At 40.9% G+C, this 19581-nt stretch overlaps 1 protein-coding gene and 1 long non-coding RNA gene across 33 annotated transcripts in view, besides 4 other annotated features; one reads left to right on the top strand and one right to left on the bottom strand.

The window, feature by feature from the left end:
* Window positions 1-19581, bottom strand: part of ENTPD1 (ectonucleoside triphosphate diphosphohydrolase 1) — a 183082-nt gene that overhangs the window by 34582 nt on the left and 128919 nt on the right. For 21 of the 32 annotated variants that reach the window (NR_199793.1, NM_001440933.1, XM_047426024.1 and 18 more), the window contains 3 exons: window positions 19321-19448; window positions 2877-2994; window positions 191-341 (listed from right to left, as the gene is read on the bottom strand). Coding sequence is in view for 28 of the 32 variants with exons in the window: in NM_001440933.1 (NP_001427862.1) it covers window positions 191-341; window positions 2877-2994; window positions 19321-19448 (397 nt within the window). In the remaining 4 variants the exon portion in view is untranslated. The remainder of the gene's footprint in view (window positions 1-190; window positions 342-2876; window positions 2995-19320; window positions 19449-19581) is intronic. The other 11 variants (NM_001312654.1, NM_001164181.1, NM_001440939.1 and 8 more) reach the window with 3 other exon arrangements.
* Window positions 1-19581, top strand: part of ENTPD1-AS1 (ENTPD1 antisense RNA 1) — a 337030-nt gene that overhangs the window by 247551 nt on the left and 69898 nt on the right. The window lies entirely within an intron of this gene.
* Window positions 637-776: an enhancer, noted in NCBI's record as "active region_3811". NCBI's record gives its function as "activates an Ori minimal core promoter by ATAC-STARR-seq in GM12878 lymphoblastoid cells {active_cell/tissue: GM12878}" and the evidence as "EXISTENCE:reporter gene assay evidence [ECO:0000049][PMID:35858748]".
* Window positions 8184-8273: an enhancer, noted in NCBI's record as "active region_3810". NCBI's record gives its function as "activates an Ori minimal core promoter by ATAC-STARR-seq in GM12878 lymphoblastoid cells {active_cell/tissue: GM12878}" and the evidence as "EXISTENCE:reporter gene assay evidence [ECO:0000049][PMID:35858748]".
* Window positions 9765-10004: an enhancer, noted in NCBI's record as "active region_3809". NCBI's record gives its function as "activates an Ori minimal core promoter by ATAC-STARR-seq in GM12878 lymphoblastoid cells {active_cell/tissue: GM12878}" and the evidence as "EXISTENCE:reporter gene assay evidence [ECO:0000049][PMID:35858748]".
* Window positions 11170-11229: an enhancer, noted in NCBI's record as "active region_3808". NCBI's record gives its function as "activates an Ori minimal core promoter by ATAC-STARR-seq in GM12878 lymphoblastoid cells {active_cell/tissue: GM12878}" and the evidence as "EXISTENCE:reporter gene assay evidence [ECO:0000049][PMID:35858748]".

Here is a 19581-nt window from a genome sequence, read left to right as displayed (position 1 = left end):
AAATCCTACCCCTATATATACTAAGAGTTTGAACATTTTATTCACTTACTAAAATATCCTTTCTTAAGTATGGACTTGGGTGTGTAGAACTTGGGGTATTAGGGAGTGTGGCCCTTTCCCATAACTTCAGAGGCTCTTTCACTGCCAAGCCTAACTCCCAGATACTCTTGGTCCCTACATGCTGCTATACCTGAGCAACCGCATGCCTGCCGTGGCTCCCAGGTAAACGGGTGTCTCTTGGTGCTGGGACCTTGGAATCACTTCCCTAGCTCTTTCCATGCAATCAGTCAGGTAAATGCCTATTTCATTTACTTTCTGAACAAATTTTGAGATTCCAGGACCTAGGAAAAAATGTAGAAGATAACAATCTTTTAAAAAAAAATTATAAAACATACCTTGACAATAGTAGATCAAAATATGGTGTTTTGAAAAAAATACAAGAAAACAATTTCCTGATGTACTATACATTAGGTTATTGTACTTAGAGGGTAATTCACTGGACCTAGCCTTGAGAGGATTTAATTTCCAGACTTTAAGTTGGGTCTGTTCAGTGTTCAATAATTCTGCCACTGGATGGCGCAATTTCATATTCAATTGCATAACATTCTCAGACTTTAATGGGGATATTATAGATAGCTACTCTGTTAGCTGCTTTTTGATATTTCCTCCAGAACACTGTAATTAATGACACTAGTTCCTAAAAGACCTAAAGATAACACTTGGAATAAAAATTAAGCGTCAGACAAATTGGCTTTTACTAAAAAGATGGAAGCTGCCACTAACTAGTTATCTGATCCTGGCCAGCACCTTAAAGTTTCTGAGGTGGAGTTGCTTCCTGTTACAAGAAAGAGGAACAGAATCTATGTCTCTTCAGTGACTTTTCCACTCCGATATCCTGCCTCCCTAGCAAAACTGTTTTTCCAGTTTTAGAGCAAAACCGACTGTTGCTATGGAGGATTAGAGCCAAGATTCCTTAAGCTTTTTGAAGTTATAACAACACTTTCATCTCACATTAAGATAAATATCTACACTATCAGTGCTTCATAGCAGAGTAATTGCTTTAAGGATAATTATTCAAATAAGTTATCCAGATCATTCACAGGTTTTCAAACAGCCTAATAACCATGAGAAAATCAGCTCTAAGTTACCAGCTAATTGTTTTGATTCAGAAAATTTGGTGTTAAATATTTGATTAACTAGAGAACTCTCTCTTTTGAGAGGGAAGAATCCTTCATTGTTAGGCCAAACGCTCATGGGATAAGTCTCAGAAGAAGGACATCTGCTAGATTTTTTTTTTTGAGACGGAGTCTTGCTCTGTCGCCCAGGCTGGAGTGTAGTGGCGCGATCTCGGCTAACTGCAACCTCCGCCTCCCGGGTTCAAGTGATTCTCCTGCCTCAGCCACCCTAGTAGCTGGGACTACAGGCACGCACCACCATGCCTAGCTAATTTTTTTGTATTTTTAGTAGATACAGGGTTTCACCGTGTTAGCCAGGATGGTCTCCATCTCCTGACCTTGTGATCCGCCCACCTCAGCCTCCCAAAGTGCTGGGATTACAGGCATGAGCCACCGTGCTTGGCCATTAAAATAACTTTTAAAAATGGAAGGCAGTGTGTCAAATAAAAGCCAATAAAATGAGGGATTTGGGCTTTAAGAAAGGCCAGAAGTACTGTCTCAGATGGGGCCAAAGTGTCAGTATTGATGGGGCTACTGGGTAGAATGACTTGCTCTCTTGGAAATATCTCCTCTCTACTACTTTCTTGACGACCTGTGAAAATTAGTGGATTCCACAGGCTGTCAAACTGAAAATCAATTATCTTCTAGGATCTAGGCTATCAGTCTGACTAAAAATAAACAGTGGGTTCCCAGCTCAAAAGGCTAAGAGAGATAAAAGTCAGAGAGACTGTGGTATAATGGTGCATGGTAGGGTACTGGGTAAAGGGATTGAAAGCTGAATGTCAACCACTCTAACATATTATGACCTTAAAAGAAAAAAATTATTGATATATAATGCAGCAGCTCAGAGTAGCAGGAAACCTAGAGTGTAATTAGGAGACCTAGATTCTTGTCTCTATTCTGTTGCTACTTTCAAGGCACTAATCCTCCAGGTTTTTGTTTCCTTCTCTGTGAAACAAAATTTAAACGATCTGTAAGTTCCTTTTCCCAGCCCTAAGAGCCTATAATTTGGTCTTTCCTGCCTACACAGAAGCTGAAAGCTTTGAAAAATGTCTTCCAAGCTGTAGATCAGGGTACAAAGATTAAGAGAGCAATAAATCTCTGAACCAGACAGATTAGCATCACCTAGGAACTTCTTAGAAATACAGATTATCAGGCTTCATTCCAGATCTGCTGACTCAGAAACTCTAGGGGATGGGACCCATCATCTGTGTTTTTAACAAGCTCATGCAAGTTTGAGAAGCACTGGCTAAGATGCAGACTTGAAGTCGGGCAGAACTTGGTTTGAACCGCAGCTCCATCACTTACTAGCTTGAGTAACAAACAAGTGGTATAACCTCTCTCAACCTCAGTGCCCTCATTTTTAAAAAATTAGTATAATAATGCATACCTCAAAGGGAGATTATGAGGGTATACTGAAGTAACACATGTTCAGTACTAAGTACATAGCATGCAGAAGTGTTCTGTTGATGGGAGCTACTATTAATTATATTTATGTGTGTTTATTCTTAGGTTTTGATCATTAACGACTGATTTCAATATGTTTTCTGTAACGATAACATAACAACAGCAGCTGCACTGTTTTCTTCACTTGGCTTCCTATGCGTGGGACTCCTTTTTCTCTTGTGTTCTACTGGTCATACACCTCTCATGTTCTCATGCCCCACTGTTGGCCTCCCCTTCCCTTGGTCTTCATCTTACCTTTAACCCTGCATTCTTCTACTTGATGCACCACGCCTGTGTCATTCTCCTTTTCTGCTGGCCACTTATAGATGTATAAACTTGTGTGAGAAGAACCCGCATCCAGCACAATCCCATACTGAAAGCAACACAGACCAAAAACTTATCAGTATCACATCACTCATCTCCATATTAGGCTTGCAAAAGAAAGGACTGGAATTTTCAAAAACATGAGGAGAAAGTATTTGAGAGGAACATTGAGGGGATGGCACTGGAGTCACTCCGATCACAAGATCTACCAGGACAACAACCCTGCTAGAACGGGGCTCTTCATGCTGTTTGCATGTTAGAAATATTCAGACCTTATGCAGAACAGGGCCCAAGAAGCAGTATTGTTTAGAAGCTTCTTAGGTGATTCTAATGTGCAGCCAAGATTCAGAACCACATGCTGAAGTAGCTGAGACACTATGGAAGGAATAGAAAGCCATTAATCTATAGTCCCCAAACTTGTCTACACATTGGAATCATACGGGAATCACCTGGAAAGCTTCAATGGCTACTGATGCTTGTGTCCTAGACCCAGGTATTGTGATCTAATTGATGTGGTATTGTGTCCTGGGCTTTGGAATTTTTATAAGGTCCCACATGATTCTAATGTGCAGATAAGTTTGGGAACCACTGAGTTACTCCATTGAATGCCAGTAAGACGTAATAAATATGTTCATCTAATTTTAGTTCAATAAATGCAGAGTTTGTTTTAAGGAGAGGTGTAAAAACACTAAATACACTCACTTTTAAATTATGAATATAACTGTAAAATTGTATTTAATATATTTTACAATATATGTACTTAAACTTCATGTTTTTAGCTTTACGAGTAGGGGGAGATGAAAAGAAGAAAAAAAGGAGGAAAGAAAGTCAGCAGAGGAGAAGAAGGACAGATGACAGCAGGAGAAAGAACTAGAAACAGAAACTATACACAGAAACATAGAAGCAAGGGCTGGGCAATAATTTTCAAATTGGTGCCCCCTTTTAAGGACATTAAATGAGGGGTAGCTACAGTAAAGTGTGCAAATACTAGGCATACACCTCAATAAATTTTTGCATATGTGCACATCCATATAACCACCACCCAGATCAAGATACAGAACACATTCTAGCCCTCATAAGGCTTCCCAGTGCCCCTCTCAGTCAGTTACCACTGTCTTAACTTCTACCACCATGTATGAGTTCTGCCTGTTTTTGAACTGCAATGTATGAACTCACATAGTATGCCTCCTTTATGTCTAACTTCTTTCACTTTACACTATGTAAGATGAACTCAAACTGTGTGTATCAGTAGTTCATCTTTTTCCATCACTGCAAAGTATTTCATTATATGGATATACTATATTTTTATCCATTCAACTGTTGATGGACATTCGGGTTATTTCCAGTTTGGGGCTACTGGAAATATAGCTGCCAGAAACATTCATATGCATTTCATTTTGTTGAAATAAGCTCTCATTTCTTTGGGGGTATCTATCCAGGAGTAAACTGCTCAATGCCCATTTTGATCAACTGATAGTCATCTTTGGTTATATCTCTGGGCTTACTCAGGATTAAAAAATTCCATGATTGATTAATGACATCTGATATGAACTTGGGAGAAGAGCATGATGGCACATGTGCTTTTAAATCTTCCTTAGAGAAGAAACATAGAGGGAAGTAAATGGGGAAGCGAAAGGAAGAGAAGAAGGAGACGCTTGTCACGTGGCTGCTTATTTAAGCTGCAGACCTCAAAGTATGGTCTGCCACTTTAAAAATGCTTAATTTAGCTGTGTGTGTGGGTGTGTGTGGGTGTGTGGTGTGTGTGTGTGTGTGTGTGTGTGTGAATCTCCCTACATATATAAGCTAGGTTGCATGAACAGAAGCAGTGGTCTGGAAAGAGGAACAGTAGAAATGACCTTGTTTGGTTCATGGAGACACCAATGTAGGGGCCCCAGTGAAGACCTGAAAATGTAGGTGGCAATGGGTATATATATCATCTGCTATGAATCTAAGAGACTCCAGGGAGAAAAGAAGACAAGAAATAGGATTTAAGAGACCTCCCTGGACCACTAGGAAAAGCTAAAAGTAGAGCCTATTGAGTGTCAAACTCTACTCCATTTCACTAGACCAGGGAGTACCACCGTGCAGACCTTGCAAGGACCCTTGACCTGCCATAACCTCCACAGTGTTCTCTTCCTAGTTACACACAGTGGGGATTCCCTCCAGTAATTAGCATTATGCCTTTAGAAAGAAAAGGGCCTGTATGCTGGCTTTGGGCACAGCAAGGAAGCAAGCTGGACAGACTCCTCTGCAGCTAGGCTTGCAGTGAAAGGAATCCAAGAAATGGCTTAGGTGGTGGCCATTGTGGGCAGAGAGGAACACTGACTAAGGTCTGGGGCCACTGGACCCTTGAGAAACCTCCCAGAGTGGAGAAAGAGGCTCAGGAATTACACATGGCAGAAAATTCTGTTGTTTCCTAACAGAGCCCCTGATTTCTTCCTGCCAGAAAATGTTCCAACCACAGCAGCATACGACAGAAACTGGTGAGGTAGAAGCAGCAAGCAGCATTTATCTGGGATCAGATTTTATTCTAACATTGTTGATACGAAAGTCATTCTTCCCATAGAGCCAAAGAACCAGGCTTGCTTCTGTCAGCTTGTTTTCTCTAAGGCCTTACTTACACAGTGAGGTAGTTGAGAAACAAAAACTTTTACTACGTTTCATTTGACAAGTGTTTGAGAAGGGGGTAAAGCATATTTTAACACAAATTGAAGACATTTCATCTTGTGTACACAGTACACTAGCATGCTAACCTGTGCAACTGTGCCAAACATTTTGTCTTCTAAAATGGCTTGCAGAATAAAAAACTGGCATTGTTTGCTGCTTGAGAGACAGATAAAGCTTGACTGAAAGTTCAATTTGAGCATTTGGGGAGCTTGCCTTTCTTTGTTACAACATCCATCAGAGCCCAGGTAGCCACAACGTTTTGTTCTCTTTCCACCACACCAGCATTTTCCAATGCATGTTCCAGAGAGTACGAGGCCTACAGGGGCTTCAGTAAATAAAGCTTCCCAGAAGTCTGGAGAATGTTCATGTTCTCTCTGCCTCCTGGGCTCAAAAGTCCATTAGCTAGTGAATGCCTCAAAGTCTGGCAGTGGAGAAACCCAACATTTCTCTGTAGCTTATATTTAAATATTTCCAAAAGTCCCTATGAGTATATCCTTTAAAGAAAGCAGTAAGATTTAGGTGGTAAGGAAGAGATCTGACACTCCCTCGGGATCATTTCAATATTATTTTCTATTTTAAGAGTACTAAAAGTTTCTTAAATATCACTTATAAAATGAAGTAAAAAAAGATGTTTAAGATTCTACTAATTAGATATCACTTTTATTTTTATTTATTTCCTTCCAAGTCTTTTTTGAATGCGTCGTATTGCCCAAAGAAATCAAAGAATTAGAAAAAAATCTACTCTAAAATTCATACAGACCAAAAAAGAGCCCAAATAGCCAAGGCAATCCTAAGCAAAAAGGATAAAGCCAGAGGCATCACATAACCTAACTTTAAACCACAAAGCTATGATAACTAAAACAGCATGGTACTGGTACAGAAATAGATACATAGATCAATGGAACAGAATAGAGACCCTGAAATAAAGCCATACACTTACAGCCAACTGATCTTTGACAAAGCTGACAAAAATAAACAATGGGAAAAGGACTTCCTATTTAATAAATGGTGGTTGGAAAACTGGCTAACCATATGTAGAAGTATGAAACTACACCCCTACCTCTCACAATATACAAAAATTAACTCAAGGTAGAATAAACACATAACTGTAAGACCCTCAAACTATAAAAGTCATAAAAGAAACCTAGGAAATACCCTTCCAGACATTGGCCTCAGGAAAGAATTTATGACTAAGTCCTCAAAAGCAAATGCAGTTAAAACAAAAAGTGACAATTGGGACCTAATTAAACTAAAGAGCTTCTGCACAGCAAAAAAAACCAGTGACAGAGTAAACACACAAAAAGTGGGTCAAAGACATAAATAGACACTTCTCAAGAGAAGACATACAAGTGGCCAATACACTTTTGAAAAAATGCTCATCATCACTGGTCATCAGAGAGATGAATGTTAAAACCACAATGAGATACCATCTTATACCAGTCAGAATGGCTATTAAGAAGTCAGAAAATAACAGATGCTGGCAAGATTGTGCATACAAGAGAATGCTTACACACTGTTGGTGGGAATGCAAATTTATTCAGCCCTGTGAAAAGAAGGTTAGAGATTTCTCAAAGAACTAAAAATAGAATTGCCATTTGACCCAGCAATCCCATTACTAGGTATATACCCAAAGGAAAACAAATTATTCCACCAAAAAGACACCTGCACTTGTATATTTATCACAGCACTATTCATAATAGCAAAGACATAGAATCAACCCAGGTGTCCATCAATGATGAATTGTATAAAGAAAATGTGGTACATATGCACCATGGAATACTATGCAGCCATAAAAAAGAATGAAATCATGTCCTTTGCAGCAACATGAATGCAGCTGGAGGCCACTACCCTAAGCGAATTAACACAGGAACAGAAAACCAAATACTGCATATTCTTATAAGTGGAAGCTAAACGTTGGGTACACATGAACACAAAGACGGGAACAATAAACACTAGGGATTCCAAAAGAGGGGAGGTGGGGAGGAGGTCAAAGGTTGAAAAACTACCTGTCAGGTTCTATGTTCACTACTTGGGTGACAGGATCATTAGAAGCCCAAACCTCAGCATCATGCAATATACCCATGAAACAAATATGCACATGTGCCCCATGAGTCTAAAAATAAATTAAATTTTTAAATTTTTTTTTTTTTGAGACGGAGTCTCGCTCTGTCACCCAGGCTGGAGTGCAGTGATCACATGAAGATCATAACCGATCTTCATGAGCTAGGTTGCATGGATAGAAGTGCTGGTCCAGAAAGAGGAACAGTAGAAGTGACCTTGCTTGGTTCATGGAAACACCAATGCAGGGGCCTTGGTGAAGACCTGGAAATGTAGGCGCAACAGACCCTAAGCTCACTGAGACTGGAGGCCGTATAGATATGGGGCAGATATCTCCTTAGGATGGAAACAATTCTACCTACACAAATGTCATAGTACCAGGCTTCTGGGTAAGTCTATTTAGAAGCAGAAAGAAAGAGAAACTAGAGCATCAGACAGCCTGCTTCCTGGCTCCACAGAAGTAGAATATTTCACCCTCTTCTCATTCAGAAAACACCTCTGGTGGAACTGGCCTGCTTGCAGTTGCCCATAGGTCTCATGGTTTCTGCTCCAGGGCCTTTACCGAGAAAGCCCTTCACTTGACATCTCAGCCTTCTCTGACCTCCTGAGTTTAGATCCTACCCTCCTGATCAGAATGCCTGTATTTTCCCTCTAAAGACGGTACTGGCCACATGGTGTAATTACATATTTATGCAGCTATTTGATTAATATCTATCTTTATTATTAGATTGTAAGCTACATGAGGGCAGGTCTACTTTGTTTACCACAGTATATACAGCATCCACGATGGTATATCCTACTATACATTAGGCACAGAGAAAGAATTCAACAGATCATTATTGAATCAAATGGATAAATGAGGGGGTTGGAACTGGATGGTTCCTAAATTCCTTCCAGCCCTAAAAGAGGTTAATATTCATTGTCTAATATAAAGTAGTACCACTGGAGTTGTCCTACACCATCCCCAAAAAGCTCATAAGACAGATGCTGTGGTTTGACTGTTTTCCCCTCCAAAACTCATGTGTTGAAAACTTCATCACCAATGCATCAGCATCAGGAGGTGAGCCCTAGTGGGAGGTATTTAGGTATTCAAGTACTCTGCCCTCTTAAATGGATTAATGCCACAATTAAATGGGGTTTGGGGAGTGAGTTTGCTATCTCCTACTCTTTTGCCATTGTGAGGAACAGCATTCCTCCCTCCAGAGGATGCAGAGTTCAAGGCATCATCTTGGAAGCAGAGACCAGGCCCTTACCAGACACCAAGCCTGCCAGCACCTTGATCTTGGGCTTCTTGGCCTCCAGAACTGTGAGAAAAGTAATTTCTGTTCTTTATATTATAAATTACCAAGTTTGTCACATTCTGTTACAGCCACACAAAACAGACTAAGACATCTGGTAACACAGGCAAGTATGATCATTAACTTTTCATGGTCCCTTCAGACACAGTGTGTCTTCAAAAACTTTCTTAAAAGTTCCTGTAGCTTTAATGGTAACTTCAGCAGCCTCATCAGTCTGTCTCAGTGAGCTTGGGTTTATAAACAAAGCTTATAATTTTGAGTAAGACTCTAGTACTCTATAAACAAACCAGATTAGCTACAGAGATGCTAGTAGGGCCTATAAACATTTAGAGACCATTTTCTTCCTTTCCTTTTTCTTTAATTAGAGTTACTAGATCTTTAATACAAACCACAGTTCTGTTATTGTCTTATTTTTTAATTGCTGTAAAACACACATAACATAAAAGTTACCATTGTAACCATTTTTAAGTGCAGTTTTGTGGTATTAAGGATATTCACATTGTTGTGCAACACCATCTATCTGCAGATGTTGTTTTCTAAAACACACATTAAAATCCAATAGAGTAAAAATAATACAGATATTTTCCAAGAGTATTCGAGGTTGGAAATCAGAGCAAATCTTTCCAAAGTCTCCATAAAAAGATAAAATCACAAATGCTTATCTAAGAACAGCACTTTTGTTCATTTTGAAAAAGCAGATGCATGAGGAAAGGTCATTACCCTTTAACAGAAGCTGGAAATCCTGCAGAGTACTGGTTCAGTGACCATAATACACTAATAGCTAAGGGCCTTCCATAGGACATATCTTCATTAAAGCAGGTAGTCTCCATTGAGGACCTCTGATGTGCTCATCGCTCTGACAATTAAGTCACTTGTATTATTCCATTTAATTCTCACAACCATATTCTAAGTAGGTACTGTTACTATCTTGATTTTACATATAAGGGGAGGCATAGAGAGAATTTCTTGCCCAAAGTCTCGGCTAGAAAGTAGCATATCTGGGATTAAAATCAAAGTGGTCTGGTCCCTGAGCCTGCATTCACAGAAGAGGCAGCGTTTAATGAAGGCTAGTTGTTTGGCATTGGGTCAGTCTGGTGCTTGTGTGACAGAGACTCAGTGTGTGCCAAAATGTGGAATGTTTGTGCTAAAAGAATATCTGACAACCACTAACTGCCAGTGTTCAGTTACGAGTAGACAAGGAAGTGGGGAACCAAGCAGACGTCAAAGCTACCGCCCCACCTAGGTCCACCAGAACAAAGGTACTTTCCCAGGGGGAGTCTTGGGTACAGCTAATGACTCTTCAGTTCATTAAGGCTATTTTTTTTTAAGTTCTCATTGTGTCTCACAGGCAGTGGTTCACAGACTTCAGTGGCATGAGAACACCCCAGGATGCCTGCTAACACATGTAGCTTCTGAGGCCCTGCACTCTGGAGGTTCAAACTGAGAAGGCTCTGAGGGTAAGAGTGGGGAACTAGGATCTCTAGAGAACTCTGAGGCAGAGGTCTGCTTCCCTCACTGACACTGCCTGGCTACCAGGTTGGTCCTGGGTTCTTCACATACAAGGAGGGAACGGTTTTATCTGTTCAAGGTGCTTTCTCTATTCAGAGTCAGCAAACTTCTCTGGAGCAACTACCCAAATCAGATGTTGTGCTGGCTGTAATTTAACATTTATTTTATGATTATTTGATTAATGATTATCTCCCTCATTATACTATAAGTTCAAAACAAGGGTATAATAAATTTGCCCATCTTGCTCACTAATATATGCCAGGGCCTACAATAGAGTTGATATTCAATGGCTATTTGTTAAATGAATGAATGGAGTCAATGAATAAATAAAATGCAAACAAAGACAAATGAAATCCATTCCCTGTCCTCAATGTGCTTATAACCTTTTAGGTAGCTGGGCAAGTAAACATTTCAGAACAATAAAGAGTTCTTGCTGTGTTATGCCACATGTGGCCCAGGCATGAGGGCACTATCTCCCCAGCAGGGCTGAACCCAAACTAGGTCAGGCAGGAAGATGACAAGACTGGATCATCAGCATGGGTGGGCTGACCTGAAATGGGCTAGACAAGGGCAAGTCAGATGGGGAACAGTGGGAATAAAATAAAGATAACTGTCAATTTGTCACTAAGGCAGGTAAGCTGCAAAAATGATAAGACATGAGTTATCAATCACTGAGTGTCTGCAGTGGGCCAGGCCTTCTGCTCTGGACTCATATTTGCATGTACTTTATCCCACTGAATTCTCACAGTAATCTTACAAGAGAAGAAGCATCAGTTCCATCATACAAGTGGAGAAACTAAGGCTTAGAGAGGTTAACTCCTGTGACCCTAAGAGCACAGCGAAGATTCAAACCCAAGGCAATGTGAGTCCATGGCCCATGTTGTGTTGTACTCTAGGCAGGCAGAATAATGATCCCTGCAAGAGGACAGGGATGACAAATCAGAGGAAGTGAGTACAGGACAGCTGAAAGTCTTTCCATGTATGAAGTTGCACCAACAGAGGCTTGTGGCCACCACCCTCTTTAAACAGAAGCATTCGGAGTTTTCTCTCAGCATTAACCGTCCCAAGGTACCTGTTCCATCTTAATCTTAAAAGGTCCTCAAAGGAATTTTGTCACAAAGATCTGGTCAACCCAAGTGTCTTTCACATTATCCCCTCCCCTTACCCCACAGACAATGCCTTAATTCTGGCCTCGCCTGCCTTGCCTAGACCATGGCAGGAGCATGCTAACTGGTCTCTCCTCTAATCTGCTCTCCAGCCAAAAGGAATCTTGGGAACACAAATCTGGGCATCACTTCCTTGTATGAAACCCTTCAAAGCAGTGGTCTTCAATCAAAACTACTCATTAGAATCACATGGAAGATTTTAGAACGTATCAGTCCCTGGGCTTTTTTTTCTTTTTTTTGAGACAGAGTCTCGCTCTGTTGCCCAGGCTGGAGTACAGTGGCGTGATCTCAGCTCACTGCAACCTCTGCCTCCTGGGTTCAAGCAATTCTCCTGCCTCAGCCTCCCGAGTAGCTGGGATTACAGGTACCTGACAACATGCCCAGCTAATTTTTGTATTTTTAGTAGAGACAGTTCACCATGTTGGCCAGGCTGGTGTCGAACTCCTGACCTCAAGTGATCTGCCGGCCTCAGCCTCCCAAAATGCTGGGATTACAGGAGTGAGCCACCACGCCCGGTGATCTACAATATTTTGAACCATTTTTATTTAACTGTAACCTCCAAAGATGATTTAATTGACCTGAGATGGGGCCCAGCCATATTTTTGAAAAGCTCCTCAGGTGCTTCTAACATGGATCCAAGCTTGAACACCACTGCAGTTTAATGGATGAGATGCCCACTTTTAAGCCAAAAATACTAAGCTCAGACTTGGACCTCCTCTTCCACCTCTCCTTCCTGCCCCCATATTCAACAATCTAACCATACTGAGCTGCTGATTCCCCAGGGATTGCATATGATTTCAAGCTGTCACTCTTCAACACATGATATAATCTTTGTCTGGAACATGTCCTATCCCACTTTCTAGAAAACTCCTTACCATTTGTCTTAGTCCATTCTCTGTTGCTATCACTGAATACTTGATACTGGGTAATTTATTTAAAAAATAAATGTATTTCTTACAGTTCTAGAAGCTATGAAGTCCAAGGTCAAGAGGCAACATCTCAGGAGGGCCTTCTTGCTGGTGGGGACTCTCTGCAGAGTCCCGAGGTGGCACAGGGCATCACATGGCAAAGGGGGCATACTGAGAGCCAAACTAGCTTTTAATACAGACCTACTCTAATAATAACTAACCCACCCTGTGATAACTCAATCCATTTATCCATGAATGGATTAATCCATTCATGAGGTCAGAGCCCTCATGACCCACCACCTCTTAAAGGCCCTGCCTCTTAATACTATTATACTGGGGATTAAGTTTCAACATGAGTTTTGGAGGGATCAAACATTCAAGCCATAGCACTTAAGACTCAGCTCCAAGGCTACCTTCTCTGTGAAGCCTCCATGTAAACAGGCACAATTAGCAGCTTCTTTCTCTGGGCTTCCATAGCACTGTCTCTGCATGAATATATCTCTATTATATTGAAATTATTTGTACGAAGAACCCTCACCTCCACAAAAATCAGGAGGTGCAATGATACTTCAGATACCTCTTGTGACCATTTTACATCTTGGCCAACTTTTTACTCCAGCCCCAGCAGTATCTCCTTATCTCTCTATTTCTGCCCAGCAGCTTCTCTCCTGCTGCCTAAGTTGTCACCTGTGGTACCCACATGACCCCTCTGACACACGTGCAAACCTGGAAGTGACAGGGACTTAACACCAGATGGGAGCAACCCTTGACCAACAGATAATGAGAACCAGGGGATAAATCCCCAGGGCAGACAATTCTAAAGTTCACTCTCCACAGCTCTTGAGAGGGTCCCTGGGAGGATCAAGCCTCAGTGGCCCAATGTGGTAATTTGCTCCTAACTCTCTCTTTCCCTTCTTCCTTGTTTCCTTGGAATCACTTCCCAAAATAAACATCCTGCATGCAATTTCTGTTAATAGGATGTGCTGTTTGGAAAAACTCACTAAGACAAATGGAAAGAACATTAGTCTTTGGATCAGAAAACTGGATTCTAGTTTTAGCTCCCCCTCTGCCTTGGGTGAGAGAACATCTAAGGCTTTGATTTTGTTATCTATAAAATGGGCATGGCCAGGTGCGATGGCTCATGCCTGTAATCCCAGCACTTTGGGAGGCCGAGGCGGGCAGATCAACTGAGGTCGGGAGTTCAAGACCAGCCTGACCAACATGGAGAAACCCCGTCTCTAGTAAAAATACAAAAATTAGCCGGGTGTGGTGGCGTGTGCCTATAATCCTAGCTACTCAGCAGGCTGAGGCAGGAGAATTGCTTGAACCTGGGAGGCAGAGATTGCGGTGAGCCGAGATCATGCCACTGCGCTCCAGCCTGGGCAACAAGAGCAAAACTCCGTCTCAAAAAAAAAAAAAAAAAATGGGGATAACCTTCTATTCTTCACAGTATTCACGGGAAGAAAAAATGGAAATGCATGTGGAAATGATTTATAACTGCAAAGCACTAAATAATGTTATCATTATGCCTTAGGAGGAATTCTTTCCCTATTCACCCTTTAAATCAGTGGTCTCCAACCTTTTTGACACCAGGGACCAGTTTCTTGGAGGACAATTTTTCCACAGACCCAGAGGTGGTGAGGAGGGGGAAATGGTTTTGGGATGATTCAAGTGCATTACACTTATTGTGAACTACCTTATTTCTATTTTTATTACATTGTAATACATAATGAAATAATTACACAACTCACCATAATGTAGAATCAATAGGAGGCCTGAGCTTGTTTTCCTGCAACTAGACAGTCCCATACGGGGGTAACGGGAGACAGTGACAGATCATCCGGCATTAGATTCTCACAAGGAGCACGCAATCCCGATCCTACATATGTGCAGTTCACAATAGGGTTCGCGGTCCTATAAGAATCTAATGCTGCCACTGATCTGACAGGAGATGGAGCTCAGGCAGTAATGTGGGCGATGGGGAGCAACTGTAAATACAGATGAAGCTTTGCTCGCTCGCGTGTTCCTCACCTCCTGCTGTACTGGTCCATGGCCTGGGGGTTGGGGACCCCTGCTTTAAATGATAGAGCTTCTCAGGACTTGGACCTTGACTCTCTTCTCATTTTATAACCCCATCCTAGATGACCTCATCCATTTCTAAGGCTTCAGTCAATCAATGCCATCAGAGACATAGCTTTAATCTAGGCCTGTGCTATTTAACCAGGGTAACAAATAGCTGGCAATTGAGCACTTGAAATGTGACTAGTTGGAATTGAGATATGCCATAAGTTAAAATTTGAAGATAGTATGAAAAAAGAATGTAACATATCTCATTAACAATTTTTTTTTGGCCGGGCATGGTGGTGGCTCATGCCTGTAATCCCAACACTTTGGGAGGCCAAGGTGGGCAGATCATGAGGTCAAGAGATGGAGACCATCCTGGCCAACAAGGTGAAACCCCGTCTCTACTAAATACAAAAATTAGCTGGGCATGGTGGCACGTGCCTGTAGTCCCAGCTACTCAGGAGGCTGAGGCAGGAGAATTGCTTGAACCCGAGAGGCAGAGGTTGTAGTGAGCTGAGATCGCACCACTGCACTCCAGCCTGTGCTACAGAGCGAAACTCCGTCTCAAAAAACAAACAAAACAAAACAAAACAAAAACGAAATTTTTTTTTTTTTGAGACAGAGTCTTGCTCTGTCACCCAGGCTAGAGTGTAGTGGCGTGATCTTGGCTCACTGCAACCTTCACCTCCCAGGTTCAAGGGATTCTCCTGCCTCAGCCTCCCAAGTAGTTGGGACTATAGGTGCCTACCACCACGCCCGGCTAATTTTTTTTGTATTTTTAGTAGAGACGGGATTTCACTATGTTGGCCAGGCTGGTCTTGAACTCCTGACCTCGTGATCCACCCACCTCAGCCTCCCAAAGTGCTGGGATTACAAGTGTGAGCCACCGCGCCCAGCCAACAATTATTTATTTTGATGAAATGTTGAGGTAATATTTTGGATGCATTGGGCCACATAAATTATATTATTAAAATTAATTTCACCTCTTTTCTTCTACTTTCTAAAATGTAGCTCTTTGAAAATTTAAAATTTGGCTTGTTTTATATTTTTATTGAGCACAGCAGTAGATATCTGCTTAGAAAAGAAAGGTCCAAATCTGATTATCCAACTGCTTTCTTGACATTTCCCATTGGCTTTCCAACACTCAAAACAATTCTTCAAAAATTGAACCCAAAGGCTCCCCCTCCTTCCACATTTTTCTTGTAGCCTCTTCCTGGTATCCTCCTATATCTCATCCTCCTCTAATTCATTGAAATCAGAGTGATCTTTGCAAAAACAAATCTGATCATACCACTAGCTTCCCACTACTCTTAGGATTAAAACTGAAATCCTCAACCTGTCTTGCAGGGCCTGCACCACGTACCTCCCCATCTTTATATAACACGTGGCCCACTCCTGCTCTCCAACTAGTTCCTAGGAGATATCCAACTCCTTCTTGTTTCAGGACTCTTGCACCTGCTTTCCTTCTGCCTGGAATTTTTTTTTTTTTTTTTTTTTTGAGTTGGCGTCTCACTCTGTAGCCCAAGCTAGAGTGCAGTGGCAGATCTTGGCTCACTGCAACCTCCGCCTCTGGGGCCCAAGTGATTCTCGCACCTCAGCTTCCTGAGTAGCTAGGATTACAAGTACGCGCCACCATACCAAGCTAATTTTTTGTATTTTAGTAGAGATTGGGTTTCACCATGTTGCCCAGGGTGGTCTCAAGCTCCTGAGCTCAGGCAATCTGCCCACCTCGGCCTCCCAAACTGCTTCGATTACAGGCATGAGCCACCGTGCTCGGCCCTGCCTGGACTACCCTTTACCTATGTCTTTCCCAGCTAACTTCCAATCATTCTTCAGATATTATTTTAGTATCATTTTTTCAGGGAAGACTTGCCTGGCCCCAAAACTTTCATTTGGTGGCAATTTATCATAATTACAATTAATAATTTGTGTTATTAAATATGTTTGCTTCCCCAGATGGTAAGCTCAGTCATATCTATATACTGCCTTCCCTATTGTGTAGCCCAGTGCCTAACACAGACAATGAATATTTTTTATTTTACTTTTTTTGAGACAGAGTCTTACTCTGTCAGCCAGACTGGAGTGTAATAAATAATTGTCGATGCATAAATTTATAAAAAATGAATGAAGAACTGCTGAATGAAGTATGGTCATAAAGTCATGTCATTGTGTGCTCTCAAAACACATGTATCAGCCGGGCACGGTGGCTCACGCCTGTAATCCCAGCATTTTGGGAGGCTGAGGCAGGCAGATCACAAGGTCAGGAGATCAAGACCATCCTGGCTAACATGGTGAAACCCCGTCTCTACTAAAAATACAAAAAAATTAGCCGGGCGTGATGGCGGGCACCTGTAGTCCCAGCTACTTGGGAGGCTGAGGCAGGAGAACGACGTGAACCCAGGAGGTGGAGCTTTCAGTGAGCCGAGATCGTGCCACTGCACTCCAGCCTGGGCGACAGAGCGAGACTCCATCTTGAAAAAGAAACAAACAAAAACCCCAAACAAAGAAACAAAAAACAAACAAACAAACAAAAAACATGTATCAGTACAAATATCCAAATAAGTGTTATCTTTTAAATGGTCATTTTTGGAAGCAAATACATTTATTTCAATAAACTACTCAAACCAGTTTAGTAGCCCATGATATTTGGGATGATCCTGGTACTAGTTTACAAACCATGCAAGAAAAAAAGTTTTTTTGTTTCTTATTCTAGATTTTATAAAATGTTTTATCATACACCCTATTCATTAAACTTAGTTTTGAATGACTTCAGAGTTATCATTCAAGAGTATGCTTTAAAGTGGCAATGTCCAATAGAACTTTCTACAGCAAGGCAATATTCTATATCTGTGTTGTCCAATACAGTAGCCACCAGCCATGTATGGCTATTGAGCACTTGAAATGTGGCTAGTGCAACAGAGGGACAGAATTTTTAATTTTATTTAATTTTAATTGACAAGCTTAAAGAGCTGCATGTGGCTAGTGGCTATCAAATTGGACAGCACATCTGGTTTAAAGCCATCACCAGAATACAAGTTCCTGAAATATTTTGCCCCCAATATATGCCAGGAATCTTACTAAAATTATTATATAACCTCAACAAATGGCTAGTTTGCATATATAAAACTATCTTTGTATAAAATAAATCAGTGATGTTATTAAAAAGATTCACTTCAGATGCCAATGACTGCTCTTCAATACTCCTACCTTTTATTTAAAGAATGCCAAAGACCTTGTTCCATTTTGCCAGGCCCATATAACAATGCAGAAGCACAAGAGACTTAAAGGAGACCACTGTGAATGAGGGAAGGTCGTCCATGACCACACATATTCTTGGGAACATAACTCAAGTTTGTCATGGATTTTGCCTCCTAGGCATCCCCCTCTCCAATGATGCAATACTGAACATGTAAAAAGGTCAAATTAAGAAGGCAACCATGTATTTTTGGAGCTGGTAAACAAATAATGGAACCAAGATGTCATGAGGCTTCAACTGTGAGTGAAGTTTTGCCAAGGAAACAACATCAGTCAACATTAAAAGGCAAGCGACCCTTAACAATGAGATAGTATCAGCCTTCTGTCTTGACAAAGGGACTGCTGTACACAGCACCACTGGGTTGAACTTGACAAAAAGATGCCAGTGTGACACCCACGCCTCTGCTATACAGTGATTTGGGTGGATGGCAAAAGTTTCAGAGGCCTGGCATACACAACCATCCTTCCAGGCTCCCAGTTCAACATCTTCAAATACAAGAGAATATACTTCTACACATGTATTCCCAGGCCTCCATGGTCAAGTTAACTTCTAGATATATTACTGCCCATGTGTACATACATGCATATTAGCATATTGGTATCATCTGGGCCCTTATATATTTGTTTACTATAATTTCAGTGAAAGTTTAAAATGGTGTATTTATAGTATAAATTTTTATTTACCACATGCTTTTTAATTAACAGATTAAAAAATATAATGACCATATTACAAAGTACTTGTGAGATATTCATGTCTGAAATTTTACTTTGATGAACTGGAAAGAAAACATAAATACATTAAAGTTAATGATCCTAATGATCTTTAATGATATTAACTAGTTGTTCAAATGTAGAAATGTCACAAGAAATCTGCCTATCCATGAATTCATTTCAAATGACTATACCTGATACACGTATATGTTTTCTGATTTGCTTTTATTGATTTTGATTCTTTACTATATCTGGAGATAAGAAACATGTCTTCTCCTCAATCTCTGACTTCCAAAGTACTTTATACAGAGTTGTATAATAAACGTTATTGTTTTGGTGATAGTGATAATAATGAAGTAAAAAGAACAGAGTGCAGTATTGTGATTCACCCATGATGAAGAAGTGGAAATATACTAGAATATAGAATCTTGGCATAGTATTACACAGATCTGGATAAGGTGAATAAAGCATTCATCTCTGCTAGAGTATCAATTTAATGAGTTTACTAAACAATCATAAAGGCAGTTAACTTCCCACCACTAATGATTCAAGGCATTTACTCTTCTAGAATGAGCACCTATTTCCATTTTACTCCCCTAATCCAGTGGAAATTGACTTGTTCCTGGGCTGTTAGAACCTCAACTCGTCCCCTATGCTCTACATACCTTATCCCTCCTCCCCCTGTCCCACCCAGATCTCCTCTTACATACACACAAACACACAGATATATTTGACTTACCTTAACGTTTTCTGGCAATGCTTTGTTCTGGGTCAACCCCACAGCAAGCAAAGCTATCACAGCTATGATAGAGGAGAAGCCAAGGATGGCTAGGATATTCTTGGAGCAAAATGTCTTCACGTTAGACTCTAAAACCAAAAGCAGAAGAAAAAAATACCAACAAGAAATCAAAAACACTGATTTTCCTCCCCTTTCTGTCTGGTCTTGTAATGGCTACCTGGAGACATCAGAGACAGATTAAAAGCCAATCTTTTTTATCAA

Source organism: Homo sapiens, chromosome 10 (assembly GCF_000001405.40).
Source record: "Homo sapiens chromosome 10, GRCh38.p14 Primary Assembly".
NCBI lineage: Eukaryota > Metazoa > Chordata > Mammalia > Primates > Hominidae > Homo > Homo sapiens.
This window is presented reverse-complemented; position numbering and strand designations above follow the sequence as displayed.